We start from the raw sequence: 18,964 nt of genomic DNA on the forward strand, positions 1-18,964 counted from the left end.
AAGTGATCCCCCTGCCTCGGCTTCCCAAAGTGCTGGGATTACAGGCGTGAGCCACCACGCCCGGCCGTGACATTGCTATTAACCAGCCTTGCCTCATGAAATAGAAACCATCAGTCCTTCTTCTGAGGGGAAAATTCACTCTCTTAACCTGGCCCTGGGCACGTCCCTCCTTGGAGGCCTGGAGGCCTGGAGGTCTGAGCGGCCCGTGAGGTGTGAGCTGGACTAGGCACGTCCCTGTCATTCCCAGGGTGCCTGATGGGTTGGCGGGGAGTGGCCTGGCTGGGCCAAATAACACCTCATCAAAGGGCTTTCCAGGCGAGGAACTGTGCAGGGGAGGGGTGCTAGAAAGAGATGGCCCAGGGTGCCTGCAGGGGGAGGACCAGAAAGGTGAGGAAGCCATGGGTCTGAGGGCAGGAGGTCCCTGGAGGGGCAGGGGTGGGTGGGTGGGTGTGTCAGGTCAGCCTGTACAGCCTGACCTGGTCTGGTTCCTGGGGATCCCCCTGCACCCATTAATCACTTACTCCATCTTCAATTCTCAAGGGTCCCCTGGGGGCCAGGCAGGGTGCTGGCTTGCCTTGGCACCTGCAGTCCAGCCAGAAAGGCCCATGGTGAATAGCCAAGTTCCTAGGCATCTCATCACAGCTGTGGCTGCCCGCAATGACATTCCTGAGGGAGTGACGTTGAAGCTGAGGTGGAGAGAAGCTGGGTGGGTGGGGGAGGGTCAGAGCAGGACGGGGAACAGCACTCCAGGCAGAGGGAACAGCAGAAACAATGGCTGTGAGGTTGGCAGAAATATCTCCTTGATTGAACATTAGCAGGTGGAGTTGACAGGGACACTCAGGGTGGAGCTGGGCTCCATCACTGGGTGTTCAGGGAGAGGCCCTGGGGAGGAGGCCCCGAGGAGAGTTGCTTGCTGGACTCCTGGACACTGAAGAGGAGGCAGATAAAGGTTCTGGAGCCATTTTGGCTCTTTGGGCAGAACCACCCACCCAGTTGGCTCTTGTGCCATTGTGTCTGTCCCTTGAGGGTGTCTTTGAGGGAATCACGTTTGCCCAGACGGGCTCAGGGGCTGTCTGAATTCTAGCAGGCTTGACATCACTTTCTCCAACCCCTGCCCTTTAGAGATGGGATAGCTGAGTCTTGGGGAGGGGAGGTGGTTTGATGATGGTGGTGGCTGAGTGCGGGACCTACCTGGGGTCACTGCAGCTGGAGGAGGGGGATATGTGGATCCAGGGCTGGCTCCAAAATTCCAGCCCCACTTGGAGAGAGAAGCAGGGGCAAGACAGGCCCCAGGAAGAGGCCTCGGCCTGAGATATTTCTGAGACTGGGTTCTGAGTGCCTGACTGCAGCCTTGACCGTGTCCACCGGGACACATGAAGCTGGGCGAGGAAGTGGGGCACCACGTGGGTGAGGGGTTAGGCCGTTCCACCCATGCGTGCTCCTCACATGTCTGAGACAGTTCATGGGGCTGGCCCCACACCCTCCTCTTGCCCAGTGGAAAAAACCCCGCCTGTGGCTTGGTGGTTCCAGGCCAGGCTTCTGGGGCTCACATGCTGGAAGAGGGCTTGAGTGGAGCCAAGGTCACGGGTTTAATCATCCCTGCAGCCAGCAGGCCTGCTCGGAGGGACTGCACGCCACATCTGCCCAGCTGTTTGGCAAATGCCCACCCTCAGTCCTGAATCTCCCTCCCTCTGCAGGCACAGGACAAGGGTCTGGGGAATGAGTTCTGAGTGTCTACAGCTTCATGGGTGGTTGACAGCTTGCAACTGGGGTCAGACTGACCTAGACTGGACTCTCATTTCTACTGCTTCCTGGTTGTAATTCCTTGGGCAGCTCACTTTACTTCCCCAAGCCTCCATTTTCTCATCTATAAAATGAGGATAATAAATAGTAGACCTCATAGGTTGTTGTAAGGCTTTTATGAGCAAATGCACGTCAAATGCTTAGAACAAAACTTGGTGCTTAGTAAACATCAAAACAATGGTAACATCACTATTACCACCATCATCATCACCACCACCACCATCATCATCACCACCACCACCACCATCATCATCACCACCACCACCATCATCATCATCACCACCACCATCATCATCACCACCACCATCATCATCACCACCACCACCATCATCATCATCACCACCACCATCATCATCATCACCACCACCACCACCATCATCATCATCACCACCACCATCATCATCACCACCACCATCATCATCACCACCACCACCATCATCATCATCACCACCACCATCATCATCATCACCACCACCACCACCATCATCATCACCACCACCACGATCATCACCACCACCACCATCATCATCACCACCACCACGATCATCACCACCACCATCATCATTACCACCACCACCACCACCATCATCATCATCACCACCACCACTATCATCATTGTTTTTTTGTTTGTTTGGTTGGTTGGTTGGTTTTTTTTTGAGACGCAGTCTCGCTCTGTCACCCAGGGTGGAGTGCAGTGGCGCGATCTCAGCTCACTGCAAGCTCCGCCTCCCAGGTTCACGCCATTCTCCTGCCTCAGCCTCCCGAGTAGCTGGGACTACAGGCGCCCACCACCACGCCCGGCTAATTTTTTGTATTTTTAGTAGAGACGGGGTTTCACCGTGTTAGCCAGGTTGGTCTTGATCTCCTGACCTCGTGATCCGCCCGTCTCGGCCTCCCAAAGTGCTGGGATTACAGGCGTGAGCCACCGCGCCCGGCCGCCATCATTGTTTTTGGAGGCAGTATAGTCAGTGGCAAAGGGAACAGGCATTGGAATGAAACGTTTGTGGATCTGGACATTGTACAAGGTTGAAAAGTGTTCTTCCAAAATTCATGTCCTTCCTGGGACTGCAGAATGAGACCCTATTTTCTTTTCTTTTCTTTTTCTTTTTTTTTGAGACGGAGTTTTGCTCTTGTTGCCCAGGCTGGAGTACAATGGCACGATCTCGGCTCACTGCAACCTCTGCCTCCTGGGTTCAAGCGATTCTTCTGACTCAGCCTCCCAAGTAGCTGGGATTACAGGCATGCACCACCACACCCGGCTAATTTTGTATTTTAGTAGAGACGGGGTTTCTCCATGTTGGTCAGGCTGGTCTTGAGCTCCCAACCTCAGGTGATCCACCCGCCTCGGCTTCCCAAAGTGCTGGGATTACAGGCGTGAGCCACCTCACCCAGCCTGAGACCCTATTTTCTTTTTCTTTTTTTTTTTTTTTGAGACGGAGTCTCACTCTGTTGCTCAGGCTGGAGTGCAATGGCGTGATCCTGGCTCCTGCAACCTCCACCCCCTGGGTTCAAGTGATTCTCCTGTCTCAGCCTCCCGAGTAGCTGGGATTACAGGCATGCGTCACCAGGCCCAGCTAATTTTTGTATTTTTAGTAGAGACAGGGTTTCACCATGTTGGTCAGGCTGATGGTCTCGAACTCCTGACCTCGTGATCCACCCACCTCGGCCTCCCAAAGTGCTGGGATTACAGGCATGAGCCACCTGCCGTGGTGAAGGACAGAGACAGGGTCACTGCATGCGTGATGTATCCAGTCAACTCTTGCCCCAGATCTTCCCCCCTGACATGGAGGGGCTGTCTTCTCTTGGGGCCTCAGTTTCCACATCTTTAGAAAGGTGGGGGTCTTCAGATCTCTTCCTCCTCAACATTGTTGTTTTGTTTTTTTTGAGATGGAGTCTCGCTCTATCACCCAGGCTGGAGTGCGGTGTCACAGTCTCGGCTTCCTGCAACCTCTGCCTCCCAGGTTCAAGCAACTCTCCTGCCTCAGCCTTTTGAGTAGCTGGGATTACAAGCATGTGCCACCACGCCCAGCTAAGTTTTGTGTTTTTAGTAGAGATGAGGTTTCACCATGTTGGCCAGGCTGGTCTCAAACTCCTGACCTCAATTCATCCGCCTGCCTGGGCCTCCCAGAGTGCTGATATTACAGGCGTGAGCCACCGTGCCCGGCCCTCAACATTGTTATGTTTGGCACATAGGTTGTGGTCAAATTGACTTTTCTGAAGTTGATTCTTGCTGAAGACCAAATGGTGAAAGCCGTGGTAGGGTAGAATGATATCTTCCCAAAGATGTGCCTGTCCTAATGCACAGAACCTGCAAATGTGTGACCTGCCATGGTGAAAGGGACTTTGCAGGTGTGACAAAGTCACGGCTCTTGAGAAGGGAGATTGTCCTGGATTATCCAGGTGAGCCCTTTATAATCACAAGGGTCCTCATAAGAGGGAGGCAGGAAGCTTGGAGTCAGAGAGGGAGCTGTGACGACAGCAGCACAGGAGAGAGACAGACGCCCTACTGCTGCTTTGAAGATGGAGGAAGGAGCCATGATCTAAGGCCTCTAGCAGCTGGAAAAGGCAGGGAAACTGATCCTCCCCTAAAACCCCCAGGAGGAATGCAGCCCTGCTGACACTTGGATTTAGGACTGCTGGCTTCCATAGCTGTGTGTGTGTGTGTTTTTTTTTTTTTTTTGGTTTTTTTTTTTGAGACGGAGTCTTGCTCTGTCACCCAGGCTGGGTGCAGTGGTGCGCGATCTCGGCTCACTGCAAGCTCCGCCTCCCGGGTTCACGCCATTCTCCTGCCTCAGCCTCCCGAGTAGCTGGGACTACAGGTGCCTGCCACCATGCCCGGCTAATTTTTTTTTTTTTTTGTATTTTTTAGTAGAGACAGGGTTTCACCATGTTAGCCAGGATGGTCTCGATCTCCTGACCTTGTGATCCTCCCGCCTCGGCCTCCCAAAGTGCTGGGATTACAGGCGTGAGCCACCGCGCCTGGCCTGTGTGTTGTTTTAAGGCATGAAGTTTCTAGTAATTTGTCACAGAAGCAATAGGAAACTGAGACAGAGGCCAACCTTAAAATCCTTTCCAGGGCTCTCTGGTCCAGGGGATCCTTCCTATTAAAATGATGTTTGACTGAGTAACTTTCTGAAAATTTGCTCACACTTACTTGTTCAGTGAAAAGAATCAGGTTAGAAATAGTATGTTATTTATACTTCAATAAAAATTCTGCTTAAAATAGTATGTATTTTTGTAAGATGTATTTATACATTTAAATATATGAATATAAAAATTAAAGGTTATATACAAAAATGAAAATTATTATCTCTGGTTGGTAGAAATACAGGCAATTGGCCAGGCGCAGTGGCTCACGCCTGTAATCCCAGCACTTTGGGAGCCCAATGCAGGCGGATCATGAGGTCAGGAGATCGAGACCATCCTGGCCAACATGGTGAAACTCTGTTTCTACTAAAAATACAAAATTAGCCGAGCATGGTGACAGGCGCCTGTAATCCCAGCTACTCAGGAGGCTGAGGCAGGAGAATGGCTTGAACTCGGGAGGCAGAGGTTGCAGTGAGCAGAGATTGTGCCACTGTACTCCAACCTGGGTGACAGAGCGAGACTCTGTCTGAAAAAAAAAAAAATACAGGCAGTTGTGCCCCTTCCCTTTTTTGTTTTGCTTTGTTTTGCCTGTCAGGAATTTCTATGTCTATTTCCCTGAGAGCAGGAGTTAAGAAGAGCTCTGTTCTTGAGGTCATCCGGACCTGGGCTCATATCCCAGCACTGCCACTTATTGGCTGTGTGTCATTGGACAAGTTACGTCTCTGGGCTTCCACGTTCTCCTCTGTAAAAATGTGGGTAAGACTTGGACGCCAGCACTTTGGGAGGCCGAGGCAAGTGTATCACATGAGTCCAAGAGTTTGAGATCAGCCTGGCCAACATGGTGAAACCCTGTCTCTACTAGAAATACAAAAAAATTAGCCCGGCATGGCGGTACACCTCTGTAATCCCAGCTACTTGGAAGACTGAGGCACAAGAATGACTTGAGCCTGGGAACTGGAGGTTGCAGTGAGCCAGGATCGCGCCACTGCACTCCAGCCTGGGTGATGGAGTGAGACTCAGTCTCAAAAAAAAAAAGGACTGGCGCACTGGCTCATGCCTGCTGTAATCGCAGCACTTTGGGAGGCTGAGGCGGGCGGATCACCTGAGGTCAGGAGTTTGAGACCGGCCTGGCCAACATGGCAAAACCCCGTCTCTACTAAAAATACAAAAATTAGCCGGGTGTGGTGGCATGCACCTGTAATCCCAGCTACTAGGCTGGGGCAGGAGAATCACCTGAACCCAGGAGGCGGAGGCTGCAGTGAGCCGAGATTGCACCACTGTGCTCCAGCCTGGGTGACAGAGCAAGACTCCATCTCAAAAAAAAAAAAAAAAAAAAGACTTGGACCTACCAGGTGCTAGGAGGAATTTAGTGAGCTGATACACAGGAAGCATCTCAGGACATAGCCTGGCACTTACAAGGTATTTAGTAACTGTCATTATCATTCATGTCATGTTAATTTCTTTTTACAGTGAACATGTGTGATTACCTAACAATGAAATAACCAGCACTGAGTGAAATGATTGCTCTTCTTAGTCAAAGTAGAATTTGAGGACCTCATATTGAAGCAACACTGTCTTTGACTGCACTGTGTGAGAACACCCGCTGGAGCCTGGCCAAGGGCACGCTCACGTTAGCAGTGCCTCTTCCCATTTGCTGAGCCTTTGCTCCATGCCAAGCTGCGTGCTAAGCTCTGTGCCAGGGGTTTAGCTACCTGGTTTCACTGAATTCTCACAGTGATGGTTCTTGGTCAGGAGAAATGGCGTTGTTACATGTCTCGTTCTACAGATGAAGAAACTGAGGCTTGGGGCAGTGAAGTGAGCTCTGCCTGAGAGTCCCCATAGCCCAAAAAGGATAAAGGAAGGGTTCCAGTCAGATCTGGCCAAGCTCCAAGGCTGAGGACTGAGCTGCTGCAGTTGGGCTGAATTCATTACTGTGTAGTTCAGAGGAAAGGACGTGGTGGGGATGGCCAGGGCAGGCGAGGGAGGACAGGGTGGGACGAGACGGATAAACACAGAGCAGAGGGGCCGGGGCCACGGGGGAAGCTGGTGTCAGCTCATCCTCGATCATTGTGAGGCATGCTGGATAATTCTACAGGCTTTCCTTTCTAAGAAAGACTGAGCTCCGCCAACTGGTTGCTGAGAATGAAAGTTTGTTTACAGCAACTGGAATTTAGAATTCCTGAACTAAAAATAGTCTGTTATTAGAGTTCACTGAGGCTGGGCACAGTGGCTCACACCTGTAATCCCAGCACTTTGGGAGGCTGAGGTGGGAGCATCACTTGAGGTCAGGAGTTCAAGACCAGCCTGGCCAACATGGCGAAACCCCGTCTCTACTAAAAATACAAAAATTTGCTGGGTGTGGTGGCACATGACTGTGGTCCCAGCTACTCAGGGGGCTGAGGCAAGAGAATCGCTTGAACCTGGGAGGTGGAGGTTGCAGTGAGCCGAGATCATGCCACTATACTGCAGCCTGGGCGACAGAGCGAGACTCTTTCTCAATAAATAAATAAATAAAATAAAATACATAGGGTGCACTGAGGACTCAAATATTTTCCTAAGAAACCTGATGTCCACACGACCTTACACAATCCCCACTATGCGCTTATCCTCAGGATCCCCGGAACGCCAGCCCTGCTGTCCAGCACTGGTAGTGTTGTCTTATGTTGGCGTGGATCTCCATTACTGCTATTTTTTAAAAAAAAAAAACTCTTTGTTAGTGAACATTTCAAACATATACAACATAAGTAGAAGATAATAATGAATCTCCATGTACCCATCACCCAGCATTGCCAAATGTTAAACAGCCCCGTCATTCTCGTCTTGTCTGTACCTCCTCCCACCCCCAACCCACCCCCCACTCAGTGACGATCATTTGTTCTAGTGCTTTGCTTATGGGGTAAATTTACATACATTGAAATGCTCCGATCTTAGCTGCACACTTTTGACAAATGATACACTGAGGATCCCACATTCCTATCACAATATAGAATGTTTCTGTCTCAGACAGTTCCTTCCAAGTCAAGCTCCTCAGGCAACCTCTGTTCTGTTTTTCTTCACCTTAGATTAATTTTGACTGTTCCAGAACTTACTATAAATGGAACCATACTGTGTGTGCTGTTTTGCGTCTGGCTTCTCTCGCGTGGGAGGTGCCCCTGTTGTTGCCTATATTGGTAGTTGTCCTGTCTTATTGCTGAGGACAACCTGGTTCTGTGAATTTACCAGTTTGTTTATCTCTCCACCAGATGATGGACATCTGGCTTGTGTCCAGTGTTGGACTATTGTGAATACAGCTGCTATGAACCTTTGAGTACAAGCCTTTGTGTGAACATATGTTTTCATTTCTCTTGGGGACATACCTAGGTGTGGAATGGCTGGACCCCATGGTAGGTGCATGTGTAACGTTTTAGAAACTTCCATTGTTGCTCAAAGTGGTTAAACCATTTTGTGTTCCCACCAGCAGTGAATGAAAGTTCCAGTTGCTCCACATCCTTGCCAACCTTGAGTGCAGTCAATCTTTGTCATTTTTATTGCTGTTCTTTTTAAAATGAGCTCATACATAGATGGGGTTTCTGGAAGGTTTTTCTTTTGTTGAGCAGCTGGTGTTGGAGAGTTGCTGTGTGTCCCAGAATGGATTGTTTGTTTGCTTCTTGTTTCTTTGTCTTCCCAGAATTCCTTCTCCACTGACTGGCAGCCGGTGGGATGTTGGAGGTGGGGGTTCTTAGGAGAGTCTTGGTCACCAAAGGTTGGGAGCTGCTGTCCGGAGGGAGGAGCTGGGGCTTGCCCTCTGCCTCACCTCTGCTTCCCTGGAGCTCGGGTCCTGCTTTGGTGCTGGGCATGGGGCAGAGTGGTGTGACCTTGTTTTCTGGTCTGATCCTGCAGCTCCGGGAGCTGCTCCCTGATCTCTCCCCGTCTTGTGTGCCAGCCTCAGCTCCTCTGAACATCCATCCTCATGTCGCCGACAAACCAGCCCACCGGGCTGTGTGTCTAGGAGTCCCAGCCCATCTGGGCGTCCCTCTCTCTTCTCCACAGATATTGGCCCAGTGACCCTCACGGCGGACCCCACAGTGTTTCAGAGGGAGCTGAGAGAACTCTACGTGCAGGTGGGCAGCCCCTGACCCTCTGTCCCACTCTTTCCAGTCTGTGTCCCACCAATAGGGTTTGGGGAGGTAGCTTCGAGTGATTCCCTCTTGCCCAGCCTCCACCTCTCCCTCCTCCTGGGTGAATGTGTGGCTTCCTTAGGCCATCTGTTAGCTGCTCCCATGGCCCCCTCCATCCTTGCCCACTCGAAGTACTCGTCACGGTGCTGGGCTTATTGGTGTAGTGACTGCCCTCCATGCCAGATTCCATGGGGGTGGGCCCGTGTCACTCTTGCATGGATGAATGAATGAATGGATGAATGATGCTGCTTATCTACAGTTAAAGCAGGTTGGATGTTATATCGTGTCTCCGGGAAGAAAGTGACTGGGTGGGCAGGAGGTGACAGTTCAAGGTGACTCCCTATGCCCAGTGGTTTTGGAGATGTCCCTGGGTGGGTCCCATCTGGAGGAGGCAGGTGGCAGCTGCTGACATGCTTCTGCCCTCCAGGGAGGTGGTGACTGCCCGGAGATGAGTGTGGGGGCCATTAAGGCTGCCGTGGAGGTTGCCAACCCCGGATCCTTCATCTACGTCTTTTCGGATGCCCGCGCCAAAGACTATCACAAGAAGGAAGAGCTGCTGCGGCTCCTGCAGCTCAAGCAATCACAGGTGGGTGAGCCGGCTGTGGGGGCCCAAAGTGGGGTCCCCCGGGGGTCCCGAGGAAGCTGGGGTCTCTCTCACCACCTGAGCCACCTCCTGGAGAGCAGAGCTGGGCACTTCTCTTCCACAGCCTTGGGTCCAGCCTCTGCCATGCATGGCCAGAGCCTCCGAACCAAGTTGGCCCAGGAAGTGTGAGTGTGCTCTCATGCTGTAGGCCCAGGCCAGGGCTCACACTTCCCTGGCGCAGCTTGTTCCTGTTGGAGACCATACCACCTACTCCTTTCACCCCCATCAAAGTCCAGGCAACCCGTCTTCCTCCTGGCATCGCCTCTGCTCCTGTTCTCTGCCGTTCCTGTCCCCTTTGCCATTGTCTCAGGGTTTGGAAGACCTGTCGGATCCCTTGCTTCTGGCTTTTGCAGTGAGGGCTGGGAGAGGGGACCTGATCAAGGGAGGGAGAAGAGCCTGCTCTTTGGCATCCTTGGGCAAGATCCACAGGGCCGGGACTGCTTCTCTGCCGCCACGTCTAGAACTTGCTTGGGTTCTTCAAGGTTCTTCTAAGTCTGCAGCCTCCAGGGGCCACTCTGAGATGAGTCGACTTCCACGCTCGTCTTTATTGTTGATTTAATAGCAGTTCCCAATATGGAGCACCTACTGTTTTCCTGGCCCTGTGCTGAGCATTTGTCCTGCATCAGCTCCTGATCCCCATGAGATGGGCACTTCTATTTTCCCTTCTATTCATGTGTCATATGTCATTCTATACATGTGACAGACAGAGGAGAGGGCCCACTCCAGGTCACTCCACCCTGGTCGAGGTCCTGCTGCTCACCCCTGAAGCAGCCGGCCAGGGAAGTCGAGAGCAGGCTGCACGTCCATCTTCCAGGTGGTCTTTGTGCTGACGGGGGACTGTGGCGACCGCACCCATCCTGGCTACCTGGCTTATGAGGAGATCGCTGCCACCAGCTCTGGGCAGGTGTTCCACCTGGACAAGCAGCAAGTGACAGAGGTGAGCACTGGGAGGGGGCACCATCCCGGAGCCCATCACTCGGGCACGGTGAGGACACTGACCATCCCTGTGGCTCCAGGTGGTTGAATGACAATCAATCATCCAGAGATGCAGGGACATCTATATAGCTGAGCAGCACTGGGTGCACACCTGTGGCAGGCACAGGACGCGCTGTGCTCAGGTGCCACCACATCATCTTATCTCGCCAAACCCTTCCACCTGTCCCAAAGGCAGGTGCTTCCGTGTTTCCAGGCAAAATTGTGCAGGTAAAGAGGCTGAGGCTTGACGCAGCCCCTTGGGATGGCCTGGGTTCAGCAGTTGGTCCAGGCTGACAAGGTGGCCCCAGAGACTGTGGCAGAAATGTGGGTATGGGGCATCTTCTGAGTGTCTCCCCAGAGTCAGGGAACCTGCGGTGGGTGGAGGAACACAGGAGCTCTCAGGTCCAGGCAGTGGTGCTGGGCACTGGGCAGGGAGGGGCTGGCTTGCTGTGTGGCCTACAGTGCCGGGATCTGCGTTCACTCAGAGCCCAGTGCTCCGCAGGCACCTGCCACTCAGCCTTGCTCCTGGACAGGGCTCTGTCCTTCCTCCTCTCGGGGCTCCATGGTATCATCCTGTTCAGGGCTGTCCCTGCTTTCCCTCCACCCCACACTCCCGTCCGCTCCCAGGAGCACAGGATCCTTTCAGGGGCCAGCTGGGAAATGATGAACAACGCTCTCTCTGGAAAGGACAAGCACACCCATTTCCGTGGTATAAATGCTCCCACCTCGGCTGATTCCAAGTCAGAGTTGGGAAGTGACGCTGACACTCAGCTTTCCGGAGCCTACACAAGTGGCTCCCACACACCACTGGATCCCGCACAGGCACCTCTCACCGCCAGGTCCCTCCCGCTTGTCCCCTGGAGAATGTCCAGCCCCTTATCTGACCCCTCTGCCTTTCTGGTCCCCCTGGTATCCCCTTGCCCAAACTTGCTACCCTGCTGGCTTCTCTGCTATCTCTCCAATGTCCTACGCTCCTCCCCGCCCGGGGCCTTTGCTGGTGCGGCCCATTCTTCGAGCTCCTCCTCTCCTGGCTCCTTCTCACCTTCCTAGTCTTGGCTTAAGCGCACCTCCTCATGGAGACCCTCCTTGATTTCCTTTCAATATTAAGTCTCCTATTGCTTGAACCTGGGAGGCGGAGGTTGTGGTGAGCCAAGATCGTGCCATTGCACTCCAGCCTGGGCAACAAGAGTGAAACTCTGTCTTAAAAAAAAAAAAAAAAAAAAAAAAAAAGATTAGGTCTCCTTGTGTGCCCCTCCCAGCTCCCTGTGCTACTTTGCATAATCATAACTTTATAACTGTGCGATTATTAAATGTCACTAGGCCGTGAAGTTTCCAGGGACTGGGCTGTGAGTCCCGATGGCCACAGCCTTCCCAGCACTTTACATTTCCCAGCTCAGAGCAGGTGCTGGGTAAATAGCTGGTGAATGGACAGGGTCCCTTGTGCTCAAGTCCCTGGTAAGAGGAAGGAGAGAGAGGCAGGGTGTCTGAGGCTGGCCATGGCCTTGAGCCAGTCCTGCTTTGTTGCCTCTGGGAGAGGGTTTTGTGTGTGTATATTTACGAGCTGCAGAGAGCTATCTCCAGGAGTGTGTTTAGATTAGCGTGCCTTAACTCCCTGTTGACAGATGGCGTTTATGGTTCTCTGCGACACTTTAGGCTTCATTTTTTGGCATGTCAGCCTACCCTCGCACCGAGTCACCCAAGCAAGGGTGGGAGGCATTTTACAGTGGAAGGATGGGTTGGTTCTTGCTCCTGGGGAGAACTATCTGGCCAATTGCATGGGAACTTGGTTCCTGCCAGGGGCAAATCAGACACAGGGCAGCTGGGCAGGTTGATGGGGGCCACTCGCCCAGGTGTGAGGCTGGGCTGTCCTAAGCCTCTTCCTTGAGGCTGGGAACCTGGGCAAATCCACTACTCCCAGCTGTGGTGCCAGCTTTCTGCTGTGACAGTCTGGCCGGGCAGCATGTGTCTGACTCAGTAGGACCACCAGTGGCCAGAATTGGCTACCTCTAAGTAGGGGCCTGGAACCCTCTCCTTCCTGGGCATGGAGCTCTGTTGTTCTTTAGCTTAATGCCTTGGACATAGCCTCTTCCAGATGTTCCCAGACATTCGGCAAGCCTGGGAAGGTGGCTGGACAGCCAGGGCTGCGGTCACCCTCCCAGGAGAGATGAACGGTGCCTTCACCCTAGCCAAGGGGCCTCCAGCTGGGAGAACTCCCCAGAAGTTGCAAAAGGCTCCAAACTATGCGTGTGTCATTAATCCTTTTACCTCTTCAGAGTGCATCCAGTGCAGCCCAAGAGGCGTCATGCATTCTCTTCCCCTTGTTTGCTGAGCTCCTGCCCCGGGCCAGGTGCAGCTCTGAGTGCTGGTGCAGAGTTGGCCATCAGTCACAGCTAGGGCTTACTGCTTTGGAGCATTTCACTTTTTTTCAATTGTGAAGTTGGCCTCACTAGTACCTGGATCACCCCTTGGGGTTGCAGGGTAATTAAAGGAAGGTGAGGATCTCTCCCTGGTAGGGGAAATTTGGAGCTTTTATAATCCTTAAACAGACAGGGGATCATGTCAGAGGCAGGCAACGTGGCCCCTTGAACCTGCCCCAAAGGTGTGCATTTTTGATTAAGACTTAGACAAGTCCAAGCACCTGCTGTGCCAGAGCAGCCTCCCCCAAGTTCCCTGGCAGACACAGCTCAACGCACTGTCACTAGCCCCGACAGTGGTGGGGGTGGGGCCAGCAGAGCTGGGCAAACTTGCCTGTCCTGCAGCTCCCCCGTGCCTGGGAAAGCCCCTCTGTCTTTTTTTCCTGGGAGAGCACTGGGCATCTTGCTCTCCTCTGCATCCCCCACCCCACAACTCACACGTTCCAGCACGGCTGGTTCTGGGGGCTGGGAGCCTTCCCATGTTCAGCACCAGCAGGCACAAAGGGTGAATTGCCTGTGTTCTGTGCATCTGCTAGGAGAAAGGTGTCCTTCTAAGACAGTAAGGGCGGGCGGAAGATGGGGGGGTGAGGGGGAGCTGCTGGGGGAGCGTCTGACCAGGTGGCTCTGATTAAATTCATCAGCAGGGGCCCAGAGATGACCTCATCCTGGACCCCTCCCAGGGGGAGGTGGTTAGGGTTTGGACTCCGGGGCAAGAGGCCTGGCTTCAGACCTCGCAGCCCTGCCACTTACCTGCAGGGTGACTGCCAGCACAGTCCTCAACCTCTCTGGGCCACACTTTCTTCTTGTGTGCAGTTGGGTTAACGAGAGCCCCTACCTGGTGAGATGGTAGCCAGGGAGAGAGGAAGCCCTTGGTAAGAGTTCACGATGGCTAAATGCCATCCCACCCCCCCGTGCTTCAATGTGGAGCCCAGGATATGTCCCTCAGTTCCATCAATGCCCCCTGAAGACTAGGAACTCTCTCTGAAAAAGATTCTCTGCTAGGGCGAGTGCCCAGGGTGCCCAGCTGGCAAGGGGCAAAACCCCCTGACTAGGGTTCTCTCTCTGTCACTTCACGGTAAGCCTCCTGGCACAGGGCCCAGGACCCACAGCCCCATCCTCTGTGTTCTCATCTGTGCCTCGGGGGCCCATTCGCCCCCTGGCTTTCCTTCCCTGCTTCCTCAGCCGCCCTGGCTGTCAAATGTTCTGGGAGGATCCTCGGGGATGATTTATCTGCTGCGAAGGGTCGAGCAGCAGCCATCTGGCTGGGGGAGCACTGCCAGATTTTTCGTTCCTTCCCCATGGGTGACAGAGATGAGCCCCAGTGCATCGCAGGCTCGCTGGTCCCCCAGCCCCTCTAACATCTGGAAGCCATTGCCTTCACCAGATGAACATTGAGCTGGCTTAATGAAGGCTCTCTGCGCTGGAGCCCTGGCACCACAGGTCTAGAAGGCAATGTCCCCAGGCCTGGCCCTACAGGGGGGTCTGGCCCTGCTGTGGGCAAGAGGGTCAGCCCCCCAACTCCCAAGTGGGGATATGCTTACAGGGCAGGCCATCCTGTGGGTCACTGGCTTTCTGCCTCGTGTCCCAGCCCTCTCTGTGGTTCAGTAGTCTGAATTGCCGAGCATCTTCCCTCCATCAGAACATCCTAGAACAAGCTTGTAACAGCAGTTACGACACAGTAGCGGGTGTCACTCCTCTGGGTAATTGTCGACTGGTGCTTTGCTCAGTGATGCTTCCCTCCTGACCCCTGACAAGGCCTGGCCCGGGGGAAGGGGACGGTGGTAACGGACCTGCTTCTTTGCTGTTGGAGGAGTTGCCTCACATGTTCGGCGGGCTTCTGTGGGCCTCTCCAGCTGGGAGTCCTCAGCCACTGCTCCCTTCTGTCCACCCCCACATGGACGAAGAACCTTGTCCTCATTCCTTGGCTAAGACAGGTGGGACCTTTTCAAGAGACACATTACTTAGAAAGCTAGGCAAGACACAACAATGAAGTAGCTCCAATTATAAAAACAGATGCATTTTCAGAATACAGAATTCTTGTCACGTGATAGTTGAAATCTAGCCATAAACTTCTAGGCACATATCTTCTAGCTCAGTCTGAAAAAAAAAAAAAAAAAACAAAAACCCAAAAACCTCATTTTCCAATTCTTTGGATTCCTTTCCCTTTTTGTAGAAGATCACATGGTAAGCAGAGCTGAAGGACTATGATTTAGAGCAAGAATGACCAATAAGTAGCATGCAAGACACCACTTTTAAAACCCATATTCATGGCAGACATTGCTAATCAATCACAGACCTTTTTCTACTTGGGGCTGAATGTGGCTTTGCCTTTCTTCTTCAGCTTTCCAGGAAGCGTTTCCCTTAGCTTGGAGTTGGCAAGCAACAGTATACCACTGTGATTGTTCAGGTGTACATTAAAGTCACAGCATACTTGCATACTTGATTTTTGTTTGTTTGTTTGTTTGTGATGGAGTTTTGCTCTTGTCACCCAAGCTGGAATGCAGTGGCATGATCTCAGCTCACTGCAAACTCTGCCTCCTGGGTTCAAGCAATTCCCCTGCCTCAGCCTCCTGAGTAGCTGGGATTACGGGCGCCTGCCACCACACCCGGCTAATTTTTGTATTTTTAGTAGAGATGGAGTTTCACTGTGTTGGCCAGGCTAGTCTCAAACTTCTGACCTAAGGTGATCCGCCTGCCTCGGCCTCCCAAAGTGCTGGGATTATAGGCATGAGCCACAGTGCCCGGTCGCATACTTGTTATTTTTAAATGACTTTACTTTAATAAAAAATTACTATGAAGAATTTCCAAGATGCAGAAAAGTAAAAAGAACACACCTACCAACTAGATTCAACAATTGTTAACATTTCTGCTCGACTTGCTTTATCTATCTCTTTATACTTTTTGCTGAATCATGACACCTTATCTATAAATAATTCAGCATGGATTTCTGAAAAAACATAGTCTTCAACATAACCCACAATATCGTCTAATAAAATTAATGAGTTTCCTAGTATCATTCTATACATAGCCCATGTTCAGATTTCCCTGTCTTCAAACTGTCTTTGATCACAGTTTTCGTCAAATCAGGATTTCATCAAGGGCTGTGCATTTCCTTTGGTTGTTATGTCTATTAAGTCCTCTTTGGTCTGAAGCCATCAGCTCTTTTTTTATGACACTAAGCTGTTCAAGAGGCATGGATTTGTACCCTGTCCCATGTTCTGGATTCTTCTGATTATTTCCTTGTGGTGGCATTCACTTTTTTTTTTTTTTTAATCCCCTATGTTTCCCTCAAACTGGATAAGTCCAAAGGTCTGATTTGATGAAGGCTGAACTTTTTGGCAGGAATATTTCCTAGTTGGTGCTGAGTGTGTCTTCTGTTGTATCACACCGGGAGGCAAATAGTGTCTGAGCATCCTACTATTACTGATGATAAGTTTGATGACTGGGTGAGGGTGGCGACAGCCAGCTCTCTGTATGGTTGGGCTGCGTTTTTGCCTTTATGACTCAAGTGGGTAATGTTCTCGCTCTGTGCGGACATCTAGTTCCCATCAACTTTTCATCTAACAGTTTTAGCATCCACTGAGGACTCTTGCCTGAAATGATATTTCATTAGGGGTTGCAAAATGATGATTTCCTAACTGCATCATTCCTCCCACATTTATGAGTGGGCATTCTTCCAAGAAGAAGAACTTTTATGCATCAAAAGTGACGGATAATTTGGTTTCTCTGAAGTACAATTTCTGTCGAAAAGGCACGGAATCACACTTAGTTCTTTCTCTTCGATTAAGGAGTCACTTCAGTTGTGGCAAGGGAGGCTTTACTGTTTTGAATTTTGCTTTCTCTTTTTTGAGTATCATTATGTGCACATGGATTATATTATTCAATGTGTTTCAATTGAGCACAGTTATTATTCTCTTTTGGGCTCAAGTTGTCCCAAATTTAGTCAGTGGGAGCTCCTTCAAGCTGGTTCCTATGTCCTTTTGATATGTCCCTATTTGTCTTTGAGAACTTCTTTGTTTTATGGAATAACCCATCATCCCAGGCTCACCTTATAAATTGCCTGCCCCAGACCTGGAATTAGCCACTTCTCCAAGGAACCCTCGTGGGGAATGGTATTTAGAAACCAAGATCTAGGTACTGGTGGTGATCATTGTTATTGAAACTTTGGGCCATCATTGCTTCTGGATCAATTGCTCTATCTATCTATCTATCTATCTATCTATCTATCTATCTATCTACCTACCTACCTGCCTATATACCTACCTATCAATTTATCATCTATCTCTATCTGGAGAACTTATACTGATATTTCCAATTCAAATTTCACATTGTAGATCTTTTACTTAGCTCATTTGATTTGATACTTGCAGCTGTCTCTTACATTTGTTTATAAGAAAAAAATCTTGATTCTGAAAATATTGACATCTTTACTTATTTGCTTTATCCAACAAGATATATAAAATGGGTTCAAAATCACAGTGCTGATAGTTCTTCCAAATAAAATCTACTCACTAAAGTTTTTTTTTTTTTTTTTTTTTGCGGTTCTTGTTGTCCTCCTACTGAGAAAGGATAGTTGAACCGCCGGGTTTGGAATTCACTTGGAGATGTTCTTTTCTCTCTGTGGTTGTGGTACCGATTTTATGGTTGAGCTCACTGTCTTTCAGTTTTAGGGTTTGCACAGGATGGACGCTCTTTGAGATAACTTGGCCTGGAAAGAGAAGGTCCAGACTTGAAGGGGCTCCCTTCCTCTCCCTCTGTCTTGGTTTCCTTGCTGGAATCTAGGTGACTTGGCTATTGCAAAGGAGGAGGTGTGAGCTGGGGAGAGGAGGGGTATGGAGTGAGGTGCCTGAGAGGTGGACTTGAGGTCAGCCTGATAGCTCTGCCCAGGAGATGCATGTCCTACTGAACTCACACAGCCAGCAGGTGCCTCCTGAGCACTCACTCTGTGCCTGGCAGTGAGCTCAGGGCTGAGACACACATGGGCACAGCAGAGGTTCTCTGCCCCCACAGAGATCCCAGGCCAGTAAGGATGAGAAGCCCGAATCCAATAAATGTGAATGACTGGAGTGCAGATTGCTGCAAAATAGTATGTATCAGGGAACAGAGCCTTTTCAGGATTAGAGAGGGCTCTTCAAGCAGCGAGCTGAAGTATAGCAAGGAGATGGTCGATGAGGAGGCAGGGCATTCCTGCAAAGAACACGGCATGTATGGGTGGGGGCTGCCTGCGGGAGGGGTGGGGTCCAGTGTAGCAGGCAGGGGGAGGCAGTGGCACAGTGACCTTGGGTTGGCATAGGTGCCTAGGACCATAGAACCTAGGGTCTTGAAGGCCATGGTCAGGATTTGGAGAAACTAAATAAGTTTGTGCTCAGTTTGTGGTAGGGGGAGTATCTCTGAGGGAGTTTGGGAACCTCCCGAAGTCATACCCTAAATGTGTACCTAAGGGATAGGATGATATCCCAGGCAAAGGGTCCTTACCTTTTATCTGATTCTCAGTGGCACTTGTCCAAAAGATGTAAGACTTTAGAATGAATAATCAATTATAGAAACCAAGGATTTAGGTCTTCTCAATATTGCAAAAATCCATCCAGCAATTCCTTACTTCTGTGGACTGGAAAGAGACCTGAAGTCTTTGCAGCAGTGCCTCTCAGTCCTGCTTAGGGAACGTGGCGCCCTGGTGGGAGCACAGTTGGAGGCCCCTGGGATAATCAGTCATGAACTACATGGGTCTGGGGGAGTTTCCAGATCTCCAGGGTTCATTGTGTGTAAGAGGCACCAAGAGGGCTTCCTGGAGGAAGTGTGGGTGCTGTGGAAGGAGGCCAGGTGGAGAAGTGTGGAAGAGTCTTCCCAGTAGAGGGACACACCCTTGCTCCTTCCCTCTGTGCTGA

General features: G+C 51.2%; 1 protein-coding gene across 7 annotated transcripts in view, besides 1 other annotated feature; it reads left to right on the top strand.

Annotated features, from left to right (window-relative positions):
* HMCN2 (hemicentin 2) overlaps positions 1-18,964 on the top strand; it is a 168,364-nt gene that overhangs the window by 9,924 nt on the left and 139,476 nt on the right. For all 7 annotated transcript variants that reach the window (NM_001291815.2, XM_011518466.3, XM_011518465.3 and 4 more), the window contains exons 2-4: positions 8,920-8,990; positions 9,475-9,633; positions 10,505-10,627. In NM_001291815.2, coding sequence (NP_001278744.1) covers positions 8,920-8,990; positions 9,475-9,633; positions 10,505-10,627 — 353 coding nt within the window. The remainder of the gene's footprint in view (positions 1-8,919; positions 8,991-9,474; positions 9,634-10,504; positions 10,628-18,964) is intronic.
* Positions 13,758-14,326: an enhancer, noted in NCBI's record as "H3K27ac-H3K4me1 hESC enhancer chr9:133051720-133052288 (GRCh37/hg19 assembly coordinates)". NCBI's record gives its function as "activates a minimal SCP1, AML or CMV promoter by ChIP-STARR-seq in primed H9 embryonic stem cells {active_cell/tissue: H9 hESC(primed)}" and the evidence as "EXISTENCE:reporter gene assay evidence [ECO:0000049][PMID:30033119]".

This window comes from Homo sapiens, chromosome 9, assembly GCF_000001405.40.
Source record: "Homo sapiens chromosome 9, GRCh38.p14 Primary Assembly".
Taxonomy (NCBI): Eukaryota; Metazoa; Chordata; class Mammalia; order Primates; family Hominidae; genus Homo; species Homo sapiens.